Below are 23,597 nucleotides of genomic sequence, written 5' to 3'. Positions count from 1 at the left end.
CATGCATGGCTGATATCTAAATGTGAGACAACAAAACACAAGGGGACCAGCCATACACATGCCTTTATTTAGATCAGCTTTTTTCAAAATGCAGCCAAACTTATGAGTTGGACAGCCCAAAGTAACCAGCCCTATTCCACTGAGTTAGTTTACCCCACAGCAGTAGAACCCAGTGCTGGTTTGGTTCCTGGCCCATGGTGGGACAGCGTGAAGGTGATGGAGGGCTCTAGCACAAGGAGGTGCTGAGTGCCACCGGCAGGTGCTTCTGCAGACAGCCTAGAGCAAGGTAAGCAGGAGCACTCGCTTCAGAACCGAGGCGGCTCGGACCAGAGGCAGGCACTTTCCTCCACATGGCAAAGGGACAAGGGTTTGTTCTTCCTACCTCATTGCTTTACTAAAGGGTCAGGCTAGGCATGACCGATCAAGGATGGGTAGGGGGTAAAATGGAGGAGGAGCATGACTGATGAGGTGCCTGGAAGCCTGTAGGGGTGTAGCTGCTGGGTCCTTTGAGGTAAATGGCTTTGGAAATAGAGGGTGAAACTGAAATCCTGAGTGATCCTGCATGGCTTTGGATGAGGCCAGCCTGGTTCAGGCATACATGGTGAGCTGCAGCCACTGAAAGAAGTCCCAAGATCAGAATGTAGATCAGAAAAGAGTGACCCCCCCCCCCCCCGCCCTAGGAATCTTACGGGGCAAGAGGAAAGGGAACAGTCCCAGCAGGTCAGACCCCCAGAAGATTTTCCAAGAAGCAGTGGCTTACTGTTTCCTTTCTCCTAGATCTTCCCTAAGAAGGTGCATGTTTTCCCGCATCAAGTGACTGGGGGAGCAGAGGTCCTTTTGGGCCTCAAGTGCATGTGTCCTGGGAGCCTGCTGAGCCTCCCTCCATGTTCTGTTCCTATCCCTTCCCTCCACCACTGTGTGGAAATGAGGAGCACACCCTGGGTCCAGTCCGCCCCGTTGACCCCTCCACCTTGAGTTTTAATGTGTAGGGGGAATGTGCTGTGCCTATGCTTTACCTCCAGAACGTTGAGCTTGATGATACCATCTCCATCCTTGTCAAATGCATGAAAAGCTCCTGTGAAAGAATGCACAGGCCAGAGGCCAGTTACAGGCGCACTCCGCCTCTACTACTGTAACTTCCCCTCAGAGGACCATGTGCCCAGTGCTGTCCCTCATCAGCACAAAGATGTGCAGGCAGAGAATCACCAGTAACCCTCCCTTTGCCATCCCATTCTGGGCCTAAAGAGGTCATTGGCCCTTGTTCAGCCTGGATGGAGCAGACTGGAGATTATCAGGTGAGATGCCTGTTGCCACAACTGCCCCTGCAAGAGAGCAGAGGGCAGCCCCCCTCTCCCACTTACTGAACATGCCCTCCAGCCTAACGAAGCAGCAGATGAAACTGTCAAAGTCGATGTTCATGTGTTTGTCTGCGTACCGCATGGTAATGATGTCATAGAGCTGGTTGTTGAGGTGGAATCCTGTGGAGGGGACCATGTTAGAGGTGGACGTGGAGCTGGAGGCCTTGGGCCTGCCTTCTATTTTCCCTGCCTCTCGGCCACTCTGTGACCTGGGAAGGGAAAGTGAGAAGCCCTTTCCCTCTCCTTTCTCTAGTGGGGCCCTAGTAGCCTAGTCCCCTCCCATTCCTGCTCCCACCGTCTCGGGTCCACATCCCTGCCACCCCTTCCTTCTCAGCACCTGCGTCGTTGACTGCATTTCGCATCTCGTAGCTGTTGATGGTGCCGGACTGGTCTGTGTCATAGTGTTTGAAAATTTTCTGGCAATAGAAAATTTGAGGATGGAGGTCACACACTGAATCTCCAAATCAACCCCATTCTTGACTCCCACGCTTCATTTTCTCTTCCCACCTGCCAGGCCTTAATCTTGTTCCAGAGGTGGTGGAACTCCTGCAGGTTGAGCTTTCCAGAGCCATCTGTCTGGAGGAGGGAGGTCAGGGCTACACAGCACACAGCAAAATCCCCCTGGATTTGGAGGGAGGGTCTAGGAGACTCCGGGCTGTCCTACCCACTGCCCTGTTGTACTATTTAACCCTCCCCTCCACTCCACCACCAGTCAGAGATTGCGCCTACTCTGTAACCCAGGAGCCGCTCTCCTAAGGACCACTTTTGCTTGGGCAGGATCCCAGGCCTGAGAGAAGCACAGGGGTTAGGGCAGTTACAACCCAACATCCTCCCCTTCCGCCTCTAACAACCCCTTTCAGACGAGTATCCAAGATGTTCTGAATCAGGGTCTCCTTAAGTTTCCCTGGGCACAAATTAGGGCCCTTTGCCTGACTGGGCACCCTGTATGTTGCCTTGGCCCCCGTGGGCTGATGACAGAGGGTCGGGAAGGGGCGGCAGGAAGGATACATCCATGAGCGCAATCATGCTACGGCAGGACTCCAGTGTGAACCCGTGTGTCTTCAGGTCCTTGTCTGGGGGGATGGAGAAGAGTGAGGAGCTGCTTTGAGACAACGGGACTCCCCACCCACCCCACCCCCATTTGGTTTGAGCAACTCACGTTTGTTCACGACTGTGTTAAGGACCTTCTTGAGCTCATCTGCACAGATCTCCATGTCCTGAGGAGGAAGGGAGAGGAGGGTCATGGTTCAGGAGTACAGCAGCTCCTGGCGCGGACACTTTGCAAAACAAATTCCACCTGGCTGTGTTTGTAAAATCCCTGTCGGTGCTATTATGTCATGGGAAGCTGGGGCTTTTCTGAGGAAGACAGGGGGCCAGATACTGCACCTCAGCTATCAGGACCACCGTGGGCAGCTCAGAGCAAAAAGGCCTCTGAGCCCCCCAGCAGACGTGGCAGTCCAAAACTCAAGGGCTTGTGGATTTGTGTGCTACGCACACATCCCCTGGCTCCACCAAAGTCCAAAGTGACCTCTACCAAACAATAATGAAATAATTGGTAATCTGAGCAGTTAATCCAGGAGAGAAGGAAGCACCTGTGGGCGTCCTGGGCTTGGAGGTACTCACATCTCCTGCTATCTGCTTGAAAATGTTCCGGAATTGTTGCTGTTCCTCACTTTCCTGATCAGAGCTGCCAGGCTGTGGCTGTGGAGGCACAAAGGAAAACTGGTTCACAGGGGTCAGAGGTGCACAGGCCTGTGAGGCAAGCTCCTCTGGGCCAAGGGAGCCAAGTGCCTAAAACGGCCGGAGGTGGCAGCAGGAGCTGGGGACGGGCAAATGCAGACCTGGTGAGCTGGAGTGAGATGCATCGAGGCCTCAGGGACTCTTCACACCTCTCCAGCCCTGACGCCCCCAGCCAAAGGAGATATGGCGGCCATACAGCCTCCTCCCCGCCACCCCAGTCCCCACCTGCAAGAGCCCCCTCCACCATCCCAGGCCTGACCATTCCAACTAAAGGTGCCCGCAGGTCAAAGAAGGTCTGACCGTTCTGATTCCTCCAGCCACCCTGTCATCAAGGCCAAGTCCTCAGAGAACCTCCCCTAGGCCCCACTGCATGAGGCCCCAGATAGAAGAGGGGCTCCCAGACAGAAGAGGGGCCCTGGATAGAAGAGGGGCCCCCGGATAGAAGAGGGGCCCTGGATTGGTCTGGAGACTTTTGCCTCTAAGGCTCACCTCCACTAAGCTCCCACTCCAATCTAACACCCTCCCGTGAGCTCTAGAGGACCCCATTTCTGAAGTCAGCCCCACTTTTCTGCTCCTATCCTTTATCCCCCTATTGTGAAATGCTCAAGGCCACCAGGAGACAAGAGTTGCGCCTCCGCTCTCAAGCTGGTTCTGTCTCAGCCTTTGCCTCCCCTTCTCTGTATCCTGGCTGGATCAGCTCCATGGGAGGCTCAGCCTGCCAGTCCACTCCTAGAATGGAACCCCCATCCTGGGATATTCACCCAAGCAGCAGCCCAAATTTCAGGGGAACTTGCTGAAAGAAAAGGTCAGTGGGACAAATTCAAACCTCCAGATGTTCAAGACAAACTCCTGGGAAGCCTCCAGCCCCTGTGTATCCCAAGCGCATAGGAAGCCCCTGTAGCGTGCTGGCCACCCCACCCATGCCACATGCCCAGACACCTGTGGGGACTGCTTTTGCTTATCAGGGCTTGTTTTGCCTTTGCCCTCCTCTGACTCCTGGTCCACACCCAGCTCCTTGTTGCTGTTTGCTCTGTCCGAAACGAAGATGATGGGCTGGAGAGAGGAGGGAGGAGGCAGGAAGGAAGGGAGGATTACAGTCTGAACAGGCACACTGAGGCAGCACCTCTCTTGGAGCAGCTTTATCCAGTGAGAAGAGGAAAGGAATAGGCGGGAGCTCTTCAACCTCGGTTCAAGCTCTATCTCTGCCACTGACAAGCCGTGTGACTTCAGTTCTTTATCTTTTCATACCCACTCCATCCCTCCTCATGGTAGAGTATTGAGAGCTCAGCACGTGAAATGCTAAGAATGCTAAAAGCAGCATGATCTAGTGCAGTGATTGTCAAGTATTTTGTAGACTTTTTTTTTTCCAGATGGAAACACTGTTCAAATTAAATTTCCTGCAGAAACATGGTGTATATAAAAACACAAGCTTCTCTGATTAATGAGAACAGAGCTCTTTGCCCTCAGCACCCCACATCACCATGGCAGCTACTGAGGCACCTCAAAGGAACCTCTACAACCCTGCAAAGTATAGATTGAAAAAGGACACGGATTAGTGGCATGGTCAGTGGGTGAGCCATCAGAACACTGGGCTGGAATCCCAGCCCTGCCCCTCATATAAGAAATATCCTCTCTGGCCGGGCACGGTGGCTCACGCCTGTAATCCCAGCACTTTAGGAGGCCGAAGCAGGCAGATCACAAGGTCAGGAGATCAAGACCATCCTGGCTAACTGGGTGAAACCCCATCTCTACTAAAGATACAAAAAAATTAGCTGGGTGTGGTGGTGGGTGCCTGTAGTCCCAGCTACTTGGGAGGCTGAGGCAGGAAAATGGTGTGAACATGGGAGGTGGAGCTTGCAGTGAGCCAAGATCAAGCCACTGCACTCCAGGCTGGGTGACAGAGTGAGACTGTCTCAAAAAAAACCAAAAATATCCTCTCTGGCCTCAGTTTACTCATCCTTTAATGGTAAAATCTGCTTTCCCTCCTCATAGGGCTCTTGTGGGGATCAAATGAGATACTGAATGCAAAATCATACTGCAAAAACATTTAAGATGCTACACAAACAAGGGATATTTTCAAGACATGCTCGTGCAAGTGACAAGGATATGAAAAGGACGGAGAGCGGCTGCTGCATGGTGCCAACACTGTGGATGCGGTGCACCTGTAGGGAAAGCCGGGGGAAGGCAAGGCTGTGGGGATTGAGGCTGCAATGCAGAGAACAACTGGGCAGGCAGAGCCTCTCGGAGCAGAAAAGCAGCCCGCCTGGACTCATGCACCACTGCCCTTCCATGCTGCTCATCTAGGACAGCTCAAGCAGATAGACCCGTGGAAACGGCTCCCCAGCTTTGGCTCCCAGCAGGCCCCAGAGGCCTTGGCTTGCTCTGCCTTCTAAGCAGTGTCTTGCTCAAGCAGCTGAAGCTTGTGGGGATCCCAGAGCAAATGGAGGTCACAGTCTGAGGGGGGATGTGTAGGATGGATATGGTGTGGCCATGGAGCATCCCTGCCAGGCACACACTGGCAGGCCCGAGTGTGGGTCTGGACAACACAGGCCTTGAAGTGTAGGGGGCTGGCATCAGAGAAAGAGGGCAAGAAACACAGGTTTTGGAGTAAACAGACATGGTTTCCAGTTCCATTTTCCCCACTCATTAGTTCTGTTCCTTGGGCAAGTTCACTTCTTTGAGTCTATCTCACCTGTGAAAGGGGAAAAATAACAGCACCTACTTTGTAGATACTGTTATAATTGGGGGGGAAAAAAAAGAGAGGGACTGACCCCAAGCACAGTGCCTGGAATGTGGTAGTGCCTGAGGAGTGTCAGCTCTGGTCTGGGCCAGCACCAGTACCTGGAGGACCCCTGTGATGGATCCATCACCACCAGGCACCACCAGAAATGCTAGCACCAAATCTGATGGTGTATGATGGCCTCTTGTGGTTCAGGACACGGACTCTGGACCCAGACTGCCTGGCTCTAAGTACTGGCTCTGCCCCTCTCTGGCTGTGTGGCCTTGGGCAAGTTAGTCAAGTCTGTACCTTTTCTCCCTCTGAAAATGGGGATAGTTATAGTACTAATCTCATAGGGCTGTTGTGAGGAAGGAATTAATCATGGAAAGCACCTAAAAGAGTGCTTGGCACGTAGCCTTCCCCCAGCAAATCGTAGTTGTCATTACTGCACGCTCGGCCCCAGCAGAAGCTCAGGAAGGAGGGGGAGGAAGAGGCAAGTCTGGTGCATGGATGCATATGAGCTCACACATGCACACTTCACATGCATGCACATACATATGCATGAGTACACACACTTCATGCTCTCTACCCACACACCTACCTTGGTTTTTTTCTTTTTCTGCATAAGAAAAGGAAACAGTAAATGCAGAATAAGTGAAAAGTAAGTTCTCAGAACCGCCAGTGGCTTTTGGCTTCCCTGTATCCTGGTCTTTAGCTTGGGGTGGGGCTCCAGGGTCCAGAAATCTGAATCACATGGAGCCAAAAAGGGGCATGGAGGGTGAAGGGAGAAGAGAATTCTTCTTTCTCCTCCATGCCCAGACACCAGTGACTGCTCTGACTTTGTTTTTATAATCTACTCTTACTGCATATGGCAAGGAAAAAGATCTTCTGGCTAAGGTTTTCTTTCTTCCTTTTTTAAAAAATGAAATTGGTGGCCGGGCGTGCTGGCTCATGCCTGTAATCCCAGCACTTTGGGAGGCTGAGGTGGGCGGATTATCTGAGGTCAGTAGTTCAGGACTATCCTGGCCAACATGGTGAAACCCCATCTCGACTAAAAAATACAAAAATTATCCAGGCGTGATGGTGGGCACCTGTAATCTCAGCTACTCAGGAGGCTGAGGCAGGAGAATTGCTTGAACCCGGGAGGCGGAGGTTGCAGTGAGCTGAGATCATGCCATTGCACTCCAGCCTGGGTGACAAGAGTGAAACTCCGTCTCAAAAATAAACAAATAAATAAATAATAAAAAAATGAAATTGGTTACTAAAACACCAAAAACATGGCTCTCTCAAACTGACCTAACAATGGATTTTGACTTACAGAATATTTTTTAAAAATTTTTGAGCAAGCATTTAACATAGGGAGATTTTCTTTGGTAAAAGCCCCAGCTGTGGCAGGCTGCCCTGGGCCTGTAATCCCTGCGGCAACTATCAGCTGAGCCAAGGGCCCTGCTCCCTGTGTCTTCCAGATTGCCCCACGCCCCAACATTCCTGTTGACCCTCGACACTGGAGCGAAATGTCAATTGAGAACTGCAGACAACTGTGTCAGTGCAGGGACATCAAAACCCCTGCACCTGCCTGCTCTACTCACGTGACGTGCCAGCTCCCATAAGCTTTTGGGTTTGCAGGTCCTGATCAATACTGCACACCGATGACCAGCATCCAGATGACCAGAACAGATCCCCACACACCTACCACTAAAACCAATCGCCTGTGGTCATTCAGAAGGCACTTGGAGACCTGGCACTGGCTCAGGGTCAGGATTATGACCATGACTGTCACTGCCCAGAAGACAGTTCAGAGGGGCATTTGTCCTCCCATTGGCCTACGTCATCCCCACAGAGCACAAAGGACTGTCAGCTGACTACAGCCCAAAGCCCCAAGGCAGTCACAAGACTCCTCAACACACAGAGCCCAACACACAGCACTCTGTGCTTCGGACTTTGGGCTTCTCACTGCCTGGGGCTGGCCTCAGCGTGGAGGTGCGGAAAAACCTAAGTCTGGAGTCAGAGAGTCTGAATGTGAGTTCCAACCCTGCCACTTACTGAGCTCTGTGAACTCAGAGAAGTCATTCAACCCCATTGAGCCTCTGCTTCCTTTCTTGAACACCAGGGATTATAACCCCATCTACCTCTCAGCAACCTTGCAAGTATCGCGATGACACATGTGAAAAGTACCTTGTAAGGTGTAAAGTGTGAAAAAGCACCTCTGTTTGAGTGCCCATGCTGTGCCAGACACTTCACATACATCACCTCATTGATGAAGCCTCACAAAAGCCTTGCAAGGCACATTATCATCCCCGTTTTACTGAGTAGGAAACTGAGTGAGAGGGATTACAGAAATTGTCCAGGTCACCCCGCTGGTAAGTGGAGGATCCAAGTGTCAACACCAGGTCCGGCACCAGCTTACTTTCTTTTCTCTATGTGTGAAATCCAATGTTATCCAGTCTCAGAATCCAGTGTTCGCTGCGGCTCTTGTCATCCCTTCCTGTGGCCTTGTTCCCTCCGATTGTTCAAATTGCTTCTCCTTTCCAGGACCCTCTTCCATATTTCCCAGCCCCTGAACTGCCTCAATGGCCCCCGGTGCTTAAGGCCGATTACTTCTGGCCATGCCAAAGTAGGATTTGCAGTGCCAAGGAGGGACTGCTCAGCACAGCCCAGACTCCCATTCCCTCTGCCAGTGCCCATTCTCCCCTGCACCATCTGTCCCCTGCATGGTCAGGGAAGGGGACCCTCTGGACTTTTCGCACAGAAGATCTAAACCACTCACCACTGGCCGATCCACGGAGATGGTATTTTCAACTTCCCTGTGAGGAATACAGACATGTGGGGTCTCAGTGTCACCAGAAGCAAGCAGGAGGCCCGTGGACGGTTTGCTCTGGTGCACGGCTTCCTGGCAGCCAAGCCAGAACCAGCCTCTAGAGAACCCCTGGAACACCCCAACCCCAGGAACCAGCCCCATGTCAGCACCATCCCCGACAGCCAAGCCCAGGCACGCAGGTTCTTGTTAGTATTGCTCAGAGCCCCCCAAAGGCATGACCCAGCCACCTACCCATGGACCTGGTGCATCTTCCAAGGACAGAGATCAGAGTGGCAGGGGCTATGAGCTCATCTGTGGTGGCCAGGGACAGGATGTGGCTTTCCTGGCCATGCTAACCTAAAATTTCAAGCATCCCCAACACCTCCTATCCCTCTTCCCTACTTTATTTTTGCTCCATATCACCTCTCCAAATCTAACATGCTACATATGTTTTTCCTATCCATTATTGTCTCATGTTAGAATATTAAGCTCCATGAAGGCAGGGATTTCTTTCTGTTTACTTCACTACTCTATCCTTAGTGCCTAGGACAGTGCCTGGAACATAGTAGGTGCTCAATAAATATCACAGAATGGATGAATGAATGAATGGGGGTAATGTGGCCAGTGGCTCAGGAGCAGCAGAAGGACCCTGGAGGAGACGTGTCTAGCTGCCTCATGCCTTCAACCTCTGGAGTGGGCCATGTGAGCTTTTAGAAACACGTGGGAAAGCTGGGCCAGCACTCACTCAGAGAGGTTCCTCTTTTCAGAGAAGACCCGGAGGATGAATTCCCCCTCCTGGTGGGGCTCGTAGGTGGAGGGCACGATGACGTACTCGCTGGGAGGCAGGCGGAAGCGCTGGGACACCTCCCGCATGTTGATGTAGGTTTTGCTCCTGGCCTTGGAGGCGTTGTACAGGAAGAAGTCCTTCTGCAGGTGCTGCTTGTTCCCGTGCATCTGAGAGATGGGGAGAGCCCAGGGCACATGAGCCCCTCGGGAGGAACATCCTGTCCTGCCACAGCCACCTCCAAGGGTCCCTTCCCAACTCCCTGGTCACCCATGTCACAGTTTCAACCTCCCTACTTCCGACTCCCAAGGCTTAAATAGCCTCCCTACCTCACTTCCTCTTCCTTTTCTGTTGTGATTCAGAGTGAATGGCAAATGTGTCATCCCCACACTCAGGGACACTTACCAGAACAGCTGCTCCTCAGCTCCGAAGCCCCTCAGGCTGGAAGGACCCCCAAGGAGGCCTAGAGGACTTGGCTGGGTTCTGAGGGAAGTGATTCCTCCATCCCAAGCGGGCAGCCACCCTCAGAACGCGTCTGTGTGACTGTGTGTGTGGCTGTAAGCGTGGAGGAGGGTGAGTGTGCAAAGGCATGTGTGTGACGTGCAGTGTCTGGTGCGAGGGAGAAAGTGCACATCCTGGGGGTGGTAGTCATGGGTCATGCAATGCCCTGAGGCACCTGCTCTGCAGTGGAAATAACACAGGCAAGGCCCTCTCCTATCACAGTCCTGCCCACAAACCCCACCAGGAAGCTTCTCGACGAGCCACAGACAGACTCGGGGCCCCCTGGGTAGTGCTGCACACAACTGCTGGCCGCTGCTGCTGCTATACCTCTTTGGGAACCTTGAGAAGAAACAGAAAGGAAGATGCTTCAGATGTGAATGAGGATGAGGAGCCTGCGGAAGGCAATGCCAGCAACTGCAGCCCGCATGCGGAAGCCTGACCCCCAGGCACCTGTTCTGCCAGGCCCGCTCCACTGCCTCTCTAATGCCCCCCCTGGTATTTTTTGCTTGTTACAAACACAAGTGGTCCTGATACCAGGAGCTCTGTGGGTCACTGGGTATTGAGGAAGCCAGAGGGCCCCTCTAGAAGCCCCTGGAAGCGTCCTCCCTGGGAAAGTATGTTTCCTGGGCTGGAGCCAATCAGGACTGCACACCTCGTAGATGGCGAAGCCAATGGTGAAGAGACTGGCCCCTAGCTTCCGGTCCTTCCGCCGGTTCTTCTGCATCAGGGCCACCAGGAAGCTGCAAATCACCTCCGAGTCATCAGGGTCATCGTCCTCCTCCAGGAGCTTCAGACGGTACTGAGGGTTGGTCCAGAAAGTATCTGCACCCCCAGAAAGGAAGCACGCATTCACAGCTGCCTCTCAGAGGGCAGGAAGGGGATGAGACAGAGGGAGCCATTTATTTCTATTCCCTACATCTAGGTGCTTAGGAAATATCAACAGAAAACACGATTCAGGCATTTCTCTAATGATTTGGGGGGGGGGGGGGCGCTACCTTTATTCAGATGGAGCTGTACTGATTGTATGTGTGGCTTTTCCTTCCTCTCTGGGCTTTCATTCTCAGTCTTTGCTGATGGTTTTGTTTTCCTTACCTGCCCCTTAAACGCTGTTGGTGACTAGAATCTGGTCCTGGGCCTCTTCTCCTCTCACCTCACCCTTCCTGCCTCCCTAGGCAATCTTTCTTACTTCTGCTTTTTAACTGCCCCCTACACGCGCATGATGCCTGAGCCATATATCCCAGCCTCAATCTCTCTCACTTTTTTTTTTTTGAGACGGAGTCTGGCTCTGTTGCCCAGGCTAGAGTGCAGTGGCGCGATCTCGGCTCACTGCAGCCTCCGCCTCCTGGGTTCAAGCGATTCTTCTGACTGAGCCTCCCAAGTAGCTGGGATTACAGGCACCCACCATCATCCCCGGTTAATTTTTGTATCTTTAGTAGAGATGGGTTTTCACCATGTTAGCCAAGCTGGTCTCGAACTCCTGACCACAAGTGATCCGCCTGCCTCAGCCTCCCAAAGTGCTGGGATTACAGGCATAAGCCACCACGTCTGGCCTCTTCTTTCCTTTATTCCTCAAATATTTTTTGAGTTCTTATCATATCACCAAGTGCCATCTAATATGCGCATCCGATGCTCTATTACAAATCTTCACTGGGACACTCTACAGGAACCTCAAACTTTCCATGTCCCAAGCTAAATTCCTTTCCCTAGAACCCCACAATTAACTCCACCAAAAACAAACAACACGCTGATATTTTTCTCTTGTGTGTCTTTTTTTTTTGAGGCAGGGTCTCACTCTGTCACCCAGGCAGGAGTGCAGTGGCATGATCACAGTTTATTGTAGCCTCAACCTCCCGAGCTCAAGCAATCCTCCCACCTCATTTTTTTTTTTATTTTTTGTAACGATGAGGTGTCACTATGTTGCCTGTGCTGGTCTTGAACTCCTGGGCTCAAGTGATCCTCCTGGCTCTGCCTCCCAAAGTGCTGGGATTATAGGCATGAGCCACCCACCCGATCTTCTTGTGTGTCTTATGTTGCAATGTTGTCAGGTCCCCAACTGGGAATCTTGACATCATTCTTCTTCCTTCCCTACATCACCCAATATGCTCTCCCTAAATCTGCTGTCTCCCCTCCATCTCTGCTGCTACTGACTTGGTCTAGGTTTTCATCATCTCTGACTTGAACTATTGCAGCAGCTGCTAACTTGGTTCTCCAATAGTGCCCTTACTGTTACTGACACAGTACTCACAGTCCCTGACTTAGGATGGTTCGGCTACAATTTTTTAACTTTACAATGTGAAAGAGATGCACATTCAGTAGAAACTGGATTTCGAGTACCCGTACAACCATTCTGTTTTTCACTTTTAGTACAGTATTAAGTAAGTTACATGAGATATTCAACACTTTCTTGTAAAATAGGCTTTGAGTTAGATGATTTTGCCCAACTTTAGGCTAAGGTCAGTGTTCCGAGCATGTTTAAGGTAGGCCAGGCTAAGCTATGATGTTTGGTGGGTTAGGCATATTGAATGCACTTTTCACTTAGGGTATTTTCAAAGATGGATGGGCTTATCTGGACATAACCTCATCGTAAGTCAAGCAGCATCTGCATTGTTCCCACAGTTTCCTGCTTCAAAGTTGCTACCAGCTCCCTATTGCAAACTTCTCAGCATGGTGGTTTCCTTCTCAGTAAAACAGGGAAGGTTTAATAAGATAGTGGACGTCTGGAACAGAGAGACTTAATAAGCACTAGTTAGGCTTCTTCTGCCTGGAACTTTTTCGGCTTAGACCCTCCCCCCATCAAGAGCATCTCCCACCTGGGAAGTTGCGGCAGCCTCCGGCAGAGCAACCCCGTACCCAGCGGCCCTCGTTCACAGACACTGTCCAGGTCTGAAGCTTGTCAGACTGCAGAGCATCGGCCGTGAGGTTGCAGATCTCCAACTTTGTGAAATGGTAGATGAAATCCTCATAGGACATCCTGAGAGGTTGGAAGAAGAGAGAGAGCCATATGGGAGCAGGTGAGGAGGGCTGGGAACGGAAGACCCCAGGACTAACACAGCACAATAATAAAATAGTTCACAGGAACTTGGTCAGGGTCCCAGAGGAGCCTGTCTTTCCTTTTTAGGGCAAACGCTGTCACTTCTGATGTATCTACTCCAAACCATCATCTTTTCTAACAATGATTCAAAAATGTGCCAGGGCCAGAAAGATAAATGTCGCATGCTCTCACTCATATGTGAGAGCTAAAACAAAGCATATGTCATGGAAGTAGAGAGCAGACAGTGGTTACCAGAGGCTGGGAAGGGAAGGAGAGGGGAGGATGAAAAGAGGGTGGCTAATGGATACAAAAATACAGTTAGATAGAAGAAATAAGCTCTAGTGCTCACCAGGGTGCTGTGGCTCATGCCTGTAATCCCAGCACTTTGGGAGGCTGAGGCAGGTGGATCACCTGAGGCTAGGAGTTTGAGACCAGCTTGGCCAACATGGTGAAACCCCATCTCTACTGAAAATACAAAAATTAGCTGAGCATTATGGCGGGCACTTGTAATCCTAGTTACTTGGGAGGCTGAGGCAGGAGAATCACTTGAACCCAGGAGGCGGAGGTTGCAGTGAGCCGATATTGCGCCATTGTATGCCAGCCTGGGCGACAAAGTGAGACTCTGTCTCAAAAAAAAAAAAAAAAAAAAAAGCTCTAATGCTCAATAGCACAGTAAGACAAACATAGCTAAACAAGAATTTATAGTATAGTGTGTGTGTGTATATATACACACACACATATATATACAGACGTGTGTGTGTGTATATGTGTGTGTATATATATGTGTGTATATATATGTGTGTGTGTGTGTGTGTGTGTGTGTGTGTGTGTGTGTGTGTGTATTTTTTGAGACAGAGTCTCGCTCTGTTGCCCAGGCTAGAGTGCAGTGGCATGATCTTGGCTCACTGCAACCTCCACCTCCTGAGGTCAAGGGATTCTCCTGCCTCAGCCAGCTGAGCAGCTGGGATTACAGGTGCACACCACCACACCTGGCTAATTTTTGTATTTTTGTAGAGATGGGGTTTCACCATGTTGACCAGGCTAGTCTTGAACTTCTGACCTCAAGTGATCTGCCCGCCTCAGCCTCCCAAGGTGCTGGGATTACAGGCATAAGCCACCACGCCCAGCCTATATATCTTTCAAAATAACTAGAGGAAAAGAATTGTAATGTTCCCAACACAAAGAAAAGATACATATTTGAGATGATGGTATCTCAATTACCCTAATTTGATCATTACACATTGTATATGTGTATCAAAATATCATATGTACCCCCAAAATATGGGTACATATGTACCCCCAAAATATGGGTACATATGTACCCCAAAAATATATATAGCTATGATATATCCATAAAAAATAGAAGGCCAGGTGTGGTGGCTTACATCTGTAATCCCAGCACTTTTTTTTTAAGACAGTGTCTTGCTCTGTTGCCCAGGATGGACTGCAGTGGTACAATCATAGTTCACTGCAGCCTCAACCTCCTGGGCTCAAGTGACCCCCTGCTTCAGCCTCCCAAGTAGCTGGGACTACAGGCACACGCCACCACATCTGGCTAATTTTAAAATTTTTTGTAGAGTTGGGGTCCCATATGTTGACCAGGCCCACATGCCAGCATTTTGGGAGGCCAAGGTGGGAGGACCGCTTGAGCCCAGGAGTTTGAGACCAGCCCGAGAAATATAGCGAGGCCCGTCTCTATTATAGTTTTTAAATAAAAAATAAAGTAATAAAAACACAAAAAACCTTTCCCTTGACATTATACTAAGACAACATTTTTTTTTTTTTTTCCAAGACAGAGTCTCTCTTGTCGCCCAGGCTGGAGTGCAGTGGCGCAATCTGGGCTCACTGTAACCTCTGCCTCCCAGGTTCAAGTGATTCTCCTGCCTCAGCCTCCCCAGCAGCTAGGACTACAGGCGCACGCTGCCACGCCCGGCTACTTTTTTTGTGTATTTTTAGTACAGACAGGGTTTCACCGTGTTAGCCAAGATGTTCTCGATCTCCTGACCTCGTGATCCGTTCACCTCGGCCTCCCAAAGTGCTGGGATTACAGGCGTGAGCCACCGCGCCCGGCTTAAGCAAACAATTTTAAGGGTGATGAGCATCATAAATTAATCCCAGTCCTCGGGGAACTTAGGGGGCTCTCCTTAAGCTGAGACTTGAAAATTCTCCTTAAGCTGAGACTTGAAGCCTGAATAGAAACAACCTGAGAGAGGGTGAGGTTGACGTTGGAAGATCAGGGTAAGTGGAGCTTCCTAGGCTCAGAAAAGAATTGTGCTAAGGCCAGGGTGCCTGTGGCTGGAATAGAGTGTGTGGCGGAGGGGCACACAGGAGGCAAGAGCCATGTCATGTTGGCCTGGTCCTGGGCTCAGTTGTCCCTGTGGCCTGGAAGGCTCCTCTCAGAACCTCATCCTTGCTGGGCCTTGGGCTGGAGGAGAACACAGCCCAGATCTCCCAAGGGCTGGAATCTGATAACCTTAGCTGGGGACTGAGGTCTGAGATTTCCCCTCTCTTCCCCACCCTTACCCTTCTGGGTCTTCCTGGGTTCTGGACTCACCAGAACTCTCCATCCTCAGTGACCTGGTGCTGCAGACGGGCCTTCTCATCTTTGTCCACAAAGCTCCAGTCCTTCCATCTGGTGGGAAAATGGAGGAATTAAGGAAGCAGGAAGAAGGGAAGGCCTGATGTAGGTTGGGACAGGAGGTATCAGAGAAATACAAAGAGTTGCAGCTGCTGTGAACTACCAAAATGCTGACTTCACCTGTTAACCTCAGTGTGAAACCCAATAGCAATGACTTCTCACATCCTCAAGACTGAGCCTAAACTCCTTAAATGGGCTGGTGAGGGCTTGATCCTTCTTTTCATCATACTTTAAAGGTTAAGAATTGAGTTCTGGGCTGCTCGCAATGGCTCACACCTGTAATCCCAGCACTTTGGGAGGCCGAGGTGGGCGGATCACAAGGTCAGGATTTCGAGACCAGCCTGGCCAATATGGTGAAACCCCGTCCTAATAAAAATACAAAAATTAGCTGGGCGTGGTGGCGGGCACCTATAGTCTCAGCTACTCAGGAGGCTAAGGCAGAAGAATCACTTGAACCCGGGAGGCGGAGGTTGCAGTGAGCCAAGATCGCGCCATTGCACTCCAGCCTGGGTGGCAGAGTGAGACTCCGTCTCAAAAAAAAAAAAAAAAAAATGGGTTCTGGACATAGACAAACTGGGAGTTCCGTTTAATAATAGGGCTAGCTATGCAACCTTGGGCAGGTCACTTAACCTCTGTCAGACTCTGCTTCCTCAATTGCAAAAGGAAAATGATTATGTCACCTGTTCACAGGGCTGGGATGGGCAGATGCAATAATGCATGCAAAGCTGTTAGCATAGTGTCTGTCATATAATAAGAAACTCTGATTTACTAAGGAAAAAGGCCAAGTCTGTAAACATCTCCTTTCCTGTGCTGGGAAATAATCAAGCATTGTGCTTCTAAAGGCTGGGCAGTTTTCACACTCTCTCTCCTCACTATGGTGGCAATAAAGTGCATGTGTGTTTCAGGCTCACAGAGGAGAATTCAACTAAACTGGGTGCTCCCTGGAAAGGTAAGGGGTGGAGGAAGCGCTTGGAGTCAGTCAGAGAACACTGCAGGGGACATGGAGATTCCTGAGACCAGGAGGAGGGATGCAGCAAAGGGAATCTCCTTGAGTGAACAGCGTTGGGTCCACTTGTCTCCAGCCCCTGTGATGGCAGCATCATGGTAAGCAGGGCAGGGCTGCACACCAAGCTCTGAGGCTGGAGAACACAGCAAGCGTCCCTGCAGGTGACTTGGGCCAGTGAAGTAGACAACTGAGGAGTCACTGAGGGCCTTCCCAGAGCACAGAGCACAGTTCCAATGTCACTCCCTCCAGGTAACCTTTCTCTACGCCTCCCCTCCCACCCAAACTAGGTGCAGAGGCCCCCTCTTTGTGATCCTTACTGTGGCACTCATCTCAATTATTAGTGTGTGCTTGCCTGTCCTTCCCCGGACCTTAAACCCACAGGCACAGGGCCCACGTGTCTGTGTTCATTTCTACATTTCTACATCCCCAGGTGGGTAGCCTAGGGCCTGGCAGAAGTCAGCACTGAGGAAGTAAGGATAGGTGTAGCGTGCATAGGTGAAGGAAGGCATGAGAATGTCTGCAGGAGGCAGTCAGGACATGAGGATCAGCCCCTAATCACAGTGTATCAAGGGAGGCTATGGGTTCACAGAATATCCCCAGTGCCTTGACCTGTGCCTCCTATGTAGTAGGTGCCCAAGAAACATTTGCTAAACGAATGACTGAACGAACCAGTAATTACATGCTGGGCTAAGAAGTACCCAGCAGTATATAAGTACAGGAGCCGAGGGGCCCAGGCTGCCTGGGTGCGGTCCTTCTCCTCTACTGAGTCCTGCCATCCCCCTCTCGAAATAAGAGGCGCTTATGGCTCATTCAGTAATGAATTGCCTCTCATTCAGTGGAGGTAATCAGGAACCAGTAGGACCATGGAGGTTTTGCAAATGTGCTGGAGCCTTCATAATAACTTCGCATGTTTGTTATTTTTGTTGCCCCCAGTCTATTCCTTTCAATGATAAGCAGTAAAATTCTTTCAAAGGGCCCTTGTGCCTTTATACAGGGACAGCACGGGTAAGGGAATCTTAGCAATGGCTCAGCACTTGCCAAAAACAGTCCCATTTACTCCTCATATCAGCCCACAAGGTAAGTGCTAATAATACTGTTCCCATTTCACAGGAAAGGCAACACAAGACCCCAAGAAGGGAAGTCACTTCTCTAGCCCAGAACCCTGCATTCATACGCTTTTCCTGCCTGGACCTTCCCCACGCTTTCTGGAATCCTTCCTTTCCAGCCAATGGTTGTCAGCAACCTCTCTGGGTCCCCAGCACCCCGCTTCCACTCCTGGCCCTTCCCTGGAGCCAACACCTGTGCCCCTCTTCTCTGCGGATCATTGGTTTTGAGGGTGATTTTATACCAAGCATCTTCAATACTCTCATGGCTCAGTTCCCAACACAGCCTTGTCCCGGACCCTGTTCCCCGCCACCGCCAATCCCGTGGGGTCCCCTCACCTACCTATCACTCCAAGAACCGTTCCACTCCACCTGGCCCCACGGATTCCGCAGCCGCACCAGCTTCACTTTCTCACCTTTGAACGGGACCTTAAGCACACAGAAAGAGCTCTCATGCTCTGCAGCCTCTCTGGAAAGGGAATCTTCTGTCTTGCTGAGGGCTGGGACGGGGCTGGGGGGCAAATCTCTTACGCGAGGGTGTTCTGCCTGGCTCTGGCCAAGGAGATTAATCACAAGTGTGCTGGGGAATGGCAGGGGGTGGGTCAGACCTTTCCTCCTGAGTCTGCCTAACTTAGGGCTTGGCCATCTCCTCTCTATCTTCTAAGAGGCAATTTTCTCAGGAACATCCTGCCGTTATGAGCTTCGGGGGAGGAGGTGAGGCATAAACAGTAGGGCCCTGCTAACACATATAAATTAGGTGTCTTCATATAAATTAGAAAAAAGGCCCCTGCTGGCCAGGCGTGGTGGCTCACGCCTGTAATCCCAGCACTTTGAGAGGCCGAGGTGGGCGGATCACGAGGTCAGGAGTTCGAGACCAGCCTGATCAACATGGAGAAACCCCCATCTCTACTAAAAATACAAAAATTAGCTGGGCATGGTGACACGCGCCTGTAATCCCAGCTACTCAGGAGGCTGAGGCAGGAAAATCGCTTGAATCCAGGAGGCGGACATTGCAGTGAGCCGAGACTGTGCCACTACACTCCAGCCTGGGCAACAGAGTGAGACTCCGTCTCAAAAAAAAAAAAAAAAGAAAGAAAGAAAGACAAAAGGCCCCTGCTGACTGAGGAACTACAAACAAGCAGACTCCCTCCAGTCTGCTGCAATGGGTGATGCAGGCAACTGCCCCTCTCAGCCCATCCCTCTGTACAGGGCACAACCTGCCCAACTGTGTGCAACAGGTCTTACAACGTTCCTGTCTCAGACATGGTCCAGGAAAACCCAGAAGTCCCAGAAGGAGCAAAACAGAACAGTCAGCCTCTCGTATCCATGGCTTTGGCATATAACCAATTGTGGATCAAAAATATTCAAAAAAAGAAAAAATAATAATACAACAACAGAAAATAATACCAAAAAAACCCAATGCAGTGCAATAACTATTTACATAGCATTTCCATTGTGTTAGGTATCGTAAGTAATCCAGAGATGACTTAAAGTATATGGGAGGATGTGCATAGGTTATATGCAAATACTACTCCATTTTACAGAAGGGACTTGAGCATCTGCAGATTTTGTTACTGTTGGGGCTTCTGGAACCAGTCCCCGTGGCTACCCAGAGACAACTGTAGCTATCTGAACACGAGAGAACAGGAAGCTCAAGAACACATGAAACCAACTTTGTAAAAGCAAAGTTAAGTGATATTTCAATTTGTTCATTGGAAATGTTGGAAAAATTGCCATCTTTAGCACGAAAAGCAAAGATAAACTGTGCACCAACTGTGGCAGGATCCACCTCTACCAGTTTCACAGGCCCCTCTGCTCCCAGGCGTGGCTTGGACCTTGAACTGAATGTCCTGATTGGAGGCAAGCTCTGCAGACAGGGAAGGGGCCCCAACAGCTAAGTCCTGACTTCATGAGGTTAACCCAGGAGGGTGCCCTTGCCCCACCAAGCCCCACCAGGCTTACCTCATCCAGCCCCGTGACAGAGTAGGCGTGACCTCTGACCAGCCCGCAGGCCATTCTTGTCTCATACTGAACCGGAATGATTGTCTGTAGAGCAGTAACCAGAGAACCCATTAGGGGCGGGGGAACAGAAGTTCTGCTGCTTGGAGGCAAAGTTCATACTAGTTCATTTTCCGGGCTCTGTGAAGACACAGACCACTCTGCTCCCTGAAAGTGTGCCTCACGACCACGAACGGACCTTCAGTGGCCCTTTAAGAGTGCCAAGAGACACAGCTCCAGACAGGCTGGTCTCCCTGAGAAGGCTCTGTCCTGACCATCAGAGAGCAATGTGGATGCTGGGATGTGGGGTGGGTAACAGTGTCCTGCCCCTCCTTTCTGGACCCCTTAGTATCCTTCAAAGGAGGAAGGGGTAGAGTTGGAGGCTGCCCTGGGCTTCAGGATCCCCCTTCCCCTGAAGCCATCCAGGGTTGACTATTCCTGGAAGAGAAAGAGGTTGAGAAAAGGGGTTAAGTGACACATGTAAGTCTAGCTTTTTCTTTTTTTCTTTCTTTTTTGTTTTTTGAGACAGAGTCTTGCTGTGTCGCCCAGGCTGGAGTGCAGTGGCGCGATCTCGGCTCACTGCAACCTCTGCCTCCCGTGTTCCAGCGATTCTCCTGCCTCAGCCTCCCGAGTAGCTGGGATTACAGGCACGTGCCACCATGCTCAGCTAATTTTTTGTATTTTTAGTAGAAACGGGGTTTCACCATGTTAGCCAGGCTGGTCTCGAACTCCTGACCTCAGGTGATCCACCCGCCTCAGCCTCCCAAAGTGCTGGGATTACAGGCATGAGCCACTGCGCCTGGCCAAGTCTAGCCTTCTTTACATCCCCTCACCTCCTCCACACCCACCTGGAACATAATATTCAAGAAATCAAGAGTCCCAGTGCCCAGGGAGAGAATTCTAAGAAAGCCCGAGGAGATCCCTGCTCAGACATGACCGTGCCTAAGGAGTAGCTCTTCCATTTGCAGAAATTTCCAAGTTGCAGCCATGGGGGATCCTTGGCAGAAGGGCAGGATCACTAAAGTCCCATGAGCCCTGGATAGGCTCTCTATGGCTTCCATGTGCCTACTAACGTAACAGCTTTAAAAGGAGCTTCCCGGAGCCTTGCTAGGCCGCGGAATTCCTAGAGCTGTTTTCAGGGCGAGGGGTATGGGTGGAGCCAGGGCTTTTGGTATCTCAGCCTCTCCCAGATCTCAGTCTCTTCCAGATCTCAGTCCTCATGATCCAGATCATGCTGAATAGACTGGGAGGGGGCGGGAGACTCATTAATCCTTAGTTCTAGACCTAGGAAGCTGCTTGAAATGACTCTTCTGTCATTACCTAAGCATATCATTCAACCCAGCAATTCTACTGCTGGGAATCTGTCCTATGGAAGTCACCATGGATGTATACAAAGATGTATCTATTGGGATGTTCGTTATAGCATTTTAGAATAGTAGCAAAACAAAACAAAACAAAGAAAAAAAAGAACTCAACTTTCCAATAATAGGGTATTGGGTAAATAAATTATAACATATCTGTGTGTTTGAATATTGTGTAGCTATTAAAAAATGTTACAGGAGAATACTTTGGGCACATTAAGAATATCAAACTAGGCCGGGTGTGGTGGCTTACACCTGTAATCCCAGCACTTTGGGAGGCTGAGGCAGGTGGATCACTTGAGGTCAGGAGTTCAAGACCATTCCAGCCAACATGGTGAAACCCCGTCTCTACTAAAAAATACAAAAATTAGCCATGTGTGGTGGTGTGTGCCTGTAATCCCAGCTATGTCGGGAGGCTGAGGCAGGAGAATTAGTTTAACTTTGGAGGCAGAGGTTGCAGTGAGCCGAGATGGCACCACTGTGCTCCAGCCTAGGGAATAGAGCAAGACTTGGTTTCCAAAAAAAAAAAAAAAAACAAAAAAACAAAAAAAACTAACTGAAAAAAGCAGGCTGCAAAGAGGTACATACAATATGATAACATTTTAAAAATAAAAATACAGATTCAGTGTGTGCATAGAAAAATCCTGGAAGAACATATACTAGATGTTAAGAGTGGTTATCTTTACATGGGGAAAAATATAAGTGAAATTTTCCTCTGTGTTTTTCTGTATGGCTCAGTATTCTCCAGTGAGCAGGTATAACTTATGAAAATACTAGAATATAAACTCTACAAGAGGGAGACCTTGCTTTTTCCACAAATATTGAAAAAGAGGAGAGAATTTGCTTTGTTTGCTAGAGGAGTGCCTGGAACATAGTAGGAGCTCAAAAATAAGTGTTGAATGAATAAATGAATACATTAGAAGAGGAAAAATATTTCAAAATAAATGAAGTATCTTTACAAGTATTTCTGTCTGATAGTTCGTTATGAGAGGAACTGCCTGGACCATGGAATATGCAGAAACTCCAGCAGAGATTCCCTCCAAAATCCTGGTTCTTGCACCCTCTTCAGGAGCCTTGGCTGAGCAAGTTATTTCAACCCAGACCCTTGGGAGGTGCCAGGTGGGGGTGTGTGGGTAAGGCCCTGGCTGCTGAGGGGAGTCTGACACTAATAGGGCGGGGTCATGTGGGTTGGAGGGATGGTCAGTTCTGATAATCGGAGGTGTACACACCCGGGTCGGTCTTTCATCTGAGCCTCTGGGGTCGAGGTCTGAGTCCTGGAGCAGTGAGTTATCCATATTCCTTACCATCCGTGCAATCAACTCCCCCATGTTCAGACCAGAAGGAGAGGTTCCATAGGTCATGTTCGTGCCATCCTGAGGCCCGATGGAGAATGTAGGGAACAACACAGGGGAGGGAGAGAACAAACACAGAAGGGTGGAAAGGGAAGGAGAGAGGAGAAAGAGATGGGACAGACAAAGGGAGAGAGGAGAGATCAACAGAGCACGAATGGAGGAAAGACGGAGAAAAGTGATACAGAAAAAAAGTTCATCCATGGTGTTGTGTGCTAACTGACCTTCCAAGCTGTCCATTGGGCGTGTTGGGAGAAGAAGGGGCAGGAATTCAGCTTCAGCCCCATCCTCCCCAATGGAAACCACTAAGATTATCATATCAATATACTGAGCAGCCCTCAGGGAAGGCATGCCCCCTGAAGGAGGCCTGGCCATGGGCGGCCATCTCCCTACCCTTGGCTCCTGTCTCAGTTCACAGCATTTCTTTGCACTGAAAGGTGCTGCAGGCTTAGCTTCTCCCAGGTAACAACACAAAGCCCACGTCTCAAGCGGGGAGGTGTGGTGAAAGCCCAGTGACTGGGAGGCTTTCTTAGGGAAATGGTGGGCTCAGGTCCACAGCCAAGTACGTGGCCAGCTTAATGGGAGCGTGCTGAGACTGAGGAGCACCAGCAAGGGAGGCCTCCACTGACACAGGCCTCTGGACTGATTTCCACTGACATTCCAGGGCTTGAAATGTCCTTGACCAGTGTCTTTATTGAAAATCCGGAAGAACTGTTCTCCCTTGAGAAATTCCCAGTCCTCAAAGTTGAGAGCCAGTTCCTGCTTCCTCAAACAAAACATTCGCTCTGTCCCACACAAAAGCTCTATGCTGCCCTTCATTGGGTAAAAGGCTTCCTGACACTTGGAGCTCCCCACCCTGTGCCCCACACCCCAGACTTACATCAATGGAGCAGCCCATGAGGGAGCCTCTCTCGATGGCTTTCTTCATGATCTTGTACATGTCACTAGGAGCATCCCTGATCTCAAAAAACTCTGCCACCCCTCCTGTGAAGTCCTCCATGGCCTCTGTGGTGTTCCCACCTTTCAGAGCTTCGTAGGAACCATGGAGCCTTAGAGAGAGGATGAAGACCAATTTGGGGTCACAGAGTTCCAGGGAACAAAACCCAGGTACCACTGCCACCAGAACTTTACCTCTTGGATGCTGTGATGTTCTTTCATCAATTCCACATTAACCCTATGAGCTCATGGGATGGAAACAATGATTCCCTTTCT

At 50.3% G+C, this 23,597-nt stretch overlaps 1 protein-coding gene across 6 annotated transcripts in view, besides 2 other annotated features; it reads right to left on the bottom strand.

The window, feature by feature from the left end:
• The window catches only part of CAPN3 (calpain 3), a 52,817-nt gene continuing 29,264 nt past the window's right edge, over positions 45-23,597 (bottom strand). The window contains exons 5-24 of one of the 6 annotated variants that reach the window (NM_000070.3): positions 23,266-23,434; positions 22,266-22,409; positions 19,640-19,723; positions 18,021-18,106; positions 15,485-15,562; positions 12,710-12,870; positions 10,552-10,721; positions 10,227-10,238; positions 9,360-9,568; positions 8,585-8,621; positions 6,419-6,436; positions 4,038-4,151; positions 2,982-3,059; positions 2,518-2,575; positions 2,367-2,431; positions 1,866-1,934; positions 1,696-1,774; positions 1,362-1,478; positions 1,017-1,075; positions 45-615 (exon numbers count right to left, since the gene is read on the bottom strand). In NM_000070.3, coding sequence (NP_000061.1) covers positions 589-615; positions 1,017-1,075; positions 1,362-1,478; positions 1,696-1,774; positions 1,866-1,934; positions 2,367-2,431; positions 2,518-2,575; positions 2,982-3,059; positions 4,038-4,151; positions 6,419-6,436; positions 8,585-8,621; positions 9,360-9,568; positions 10,227-10,238; positions 10,552-10,721; positions 12,710-12,870; positions 15,485-15,562; positions 18,021-18,106; positions 19,640-19,723; positions 22,266-22,409; positions 23,266-23,434 — 1,834 coding nt within the window. In that variant the 3' untranslated portion in view covers positions 45-588. Of the gene's footprint in view, positions 616-1,016; positions 1,076-1,361; positions 1,479-1,695; positions 1,775-1,865; positions 1,935-2,366; positions 2,432-2,517; positions 2,576-2,981; positions 3,060-4,037; positions 4,152-6,418; positions 6,437-7,406; positions 7,599-8,584; positions 8,622-9,359; positions 9,569-9,803; positions 9,996-10,226; positions 10,239-10,551; positions 10,722-12,709; positions 12,871-15,484; positions 15,563-18,020; positions 18,107-19,639; positions 19,724-22,265; positions 22,410-23,265; positions 23,435-23,597 lie in introns of those variants that run through there. The other 5 variants (NM_024344.2, NM_173087.2, NM_173088.2 and 2 more) reach the window with 5 other exon arrangements.
• Positions 10,679-10,728: an enhancer, noted in NCBI's record as "active region_9300". NCBI's record gives its function as "activates an Ori minimal core promoter by ATAC-STARR-seq in GM12878 lymphoblastoid cells {active_cell/tissue: GM12878}" and the evidence as "EXISTENCE:reporter gene assay evidence [ECO:0000049][PMID:35858748]".
• Positions 11,099-11,178: an enhancer, noted in NCBI's record as "active region_9299". NCBI's record gives its function as "activates an Ori minimal core promoter by ATAC-STARR-seq in GM12878 lymphoblastoid cells {active_cell/tissue: GM12878}" and the evidence as "EXISTENCE:reporter gene assay evidence [ECO:0000049][PMID:35858748]".

The sequence above is a fragment of the Homo sapiens genome, chromosome 15 (assembly GCF_000001405.40).
Source record: "Homo sapiens chromosome 15, GRCh38.p14 Primary Assembly".
NCBI lineage: Eukaryota > Metazoa > Chordata > Mammalia > Primates > Hominidae > Homo > Homo sapiens.
The sequence above is the reverse complement of the archived record's forward strand: the minus strand, read 5'-3'. Positions and strand labels throughout refer to the sequence as shown.